The 1,050-nt window shown below is 36.3% G+C and overlaps 1 long non-coding RNA gene across 1 annotated transcript; it reads right to left on the bottom strand.

Moving 5' to 3' along the window:
- Positions 1-334: 334 nt before the first annotated feature.
- On the bottom strand, positions 335-804 carry LOC124905953 (uncharacterized). Its single transcript, XR_007088665.1, has 2 exons — positions 713-804; positions 335-508 (listed from the first exon to the last, which is right to left on the bottom strand). It is a non-coding gene; the product is annotated as an uncharacterized LOC124905953 (long non-coding RNA).
- Between the last annotated feature and the right edge of the window lie 246 nt (positions 805-1,050).

Here is a 1,050-nt window from a genome sequence, read left to right as displayed (position 1 = left end):
AAGTCAAGACCAGCATCAATTCCCAAAATATATCAGTATATAAAATGACAATCTTGGGTTGAGAATGCAATCTTTGAAGTTCAATGTGAAATACTGATTTTTAAAAATAATTACTTTTGAGATATAACTGTAACCTTTTAAACTTATAATCAGGTACAACCTAAACTATAATGAAGGCACTTAACATGTCAGGAAACAAGGAGAAAGAGTTCAAATGGCAAGGCAGCATTGTGAATTTCTAGTGAGATTTGCACTCTTGCTTCTATTTTTCACTGCATTCCATAAGCGTCACAGAAAAAAATTACTTTAAAGAAATGCATTCTACAGCTTATCATTCATGTTAGAGAAAACTCGTTTAATGCTTTTGTTGGCCATGATACTGAAAATAAGTCTTGATTGAAGCAAGCACAGTCATATATTGAAGTACACAAATAGACACGTTTGCTCGGTTTATTCTCCGGGCCTTGCTGCAGGAATGCAAATGAGCTTTTCCAGACCCAGTTTCAAGCTGTCAAGTGACAAAAGAGGGAGGGGGCAGGAAAAAAATCGATTCAGTTAACCTAGCACAGAAGTCTACAGATTAATTACATTAAAGAAACTGAAAACAATGTGTTTTGGAGTTGGCAACTTGAAAGATTGGTGCCTGCAATACTCCTTAATATTATATAAACAAATGGAGCCTAATCAATTGCAAAAACAGCAGTCACCATACCTGTAAAAGCTGTTGAGCGAGGTTCTTTGCTTTGTTTTCAAATAAATGAAGTGGGTACTGAAGACAGGAGCCCTTTTGCAGCTGCAGGCAGGATTTATATATTGCTTACTGAATGGTGACAGATTGGCATTGTGACTTCAAATGCCAAGTAGGCATCACTACACCTATTTTTTCTACTGTGATTCTAGAATCCTAGGAATACAAAAGTAACTAGGTAGGCCTACATTTTGCTATGCCTACATTTTGCAAGAGAGACACGATCTCTGAGCCTTCTAAGTATGTGGGATGTCGTCTTTATTGTCTTTGGTTCACTTGAATAGATTAAACCCAGTTTAATA

Source organism: Homo sapiens, chromosome 2 (assembly GCF_000001405.40).
Source record: "Homo sapiens chromosome 2, GRCh38.p14 Primary Assembly".
NCBI classification, from domain to species: Eukaryota; Metazoa; Chordata; class Mammalia; order Primates; family Hominidae; genus Homo; species Homo sapiens.
Note: the sequence above shows the minus strand (reverse complement) of the source record. Positions and strands in the feature narration are given on the sequence as shown.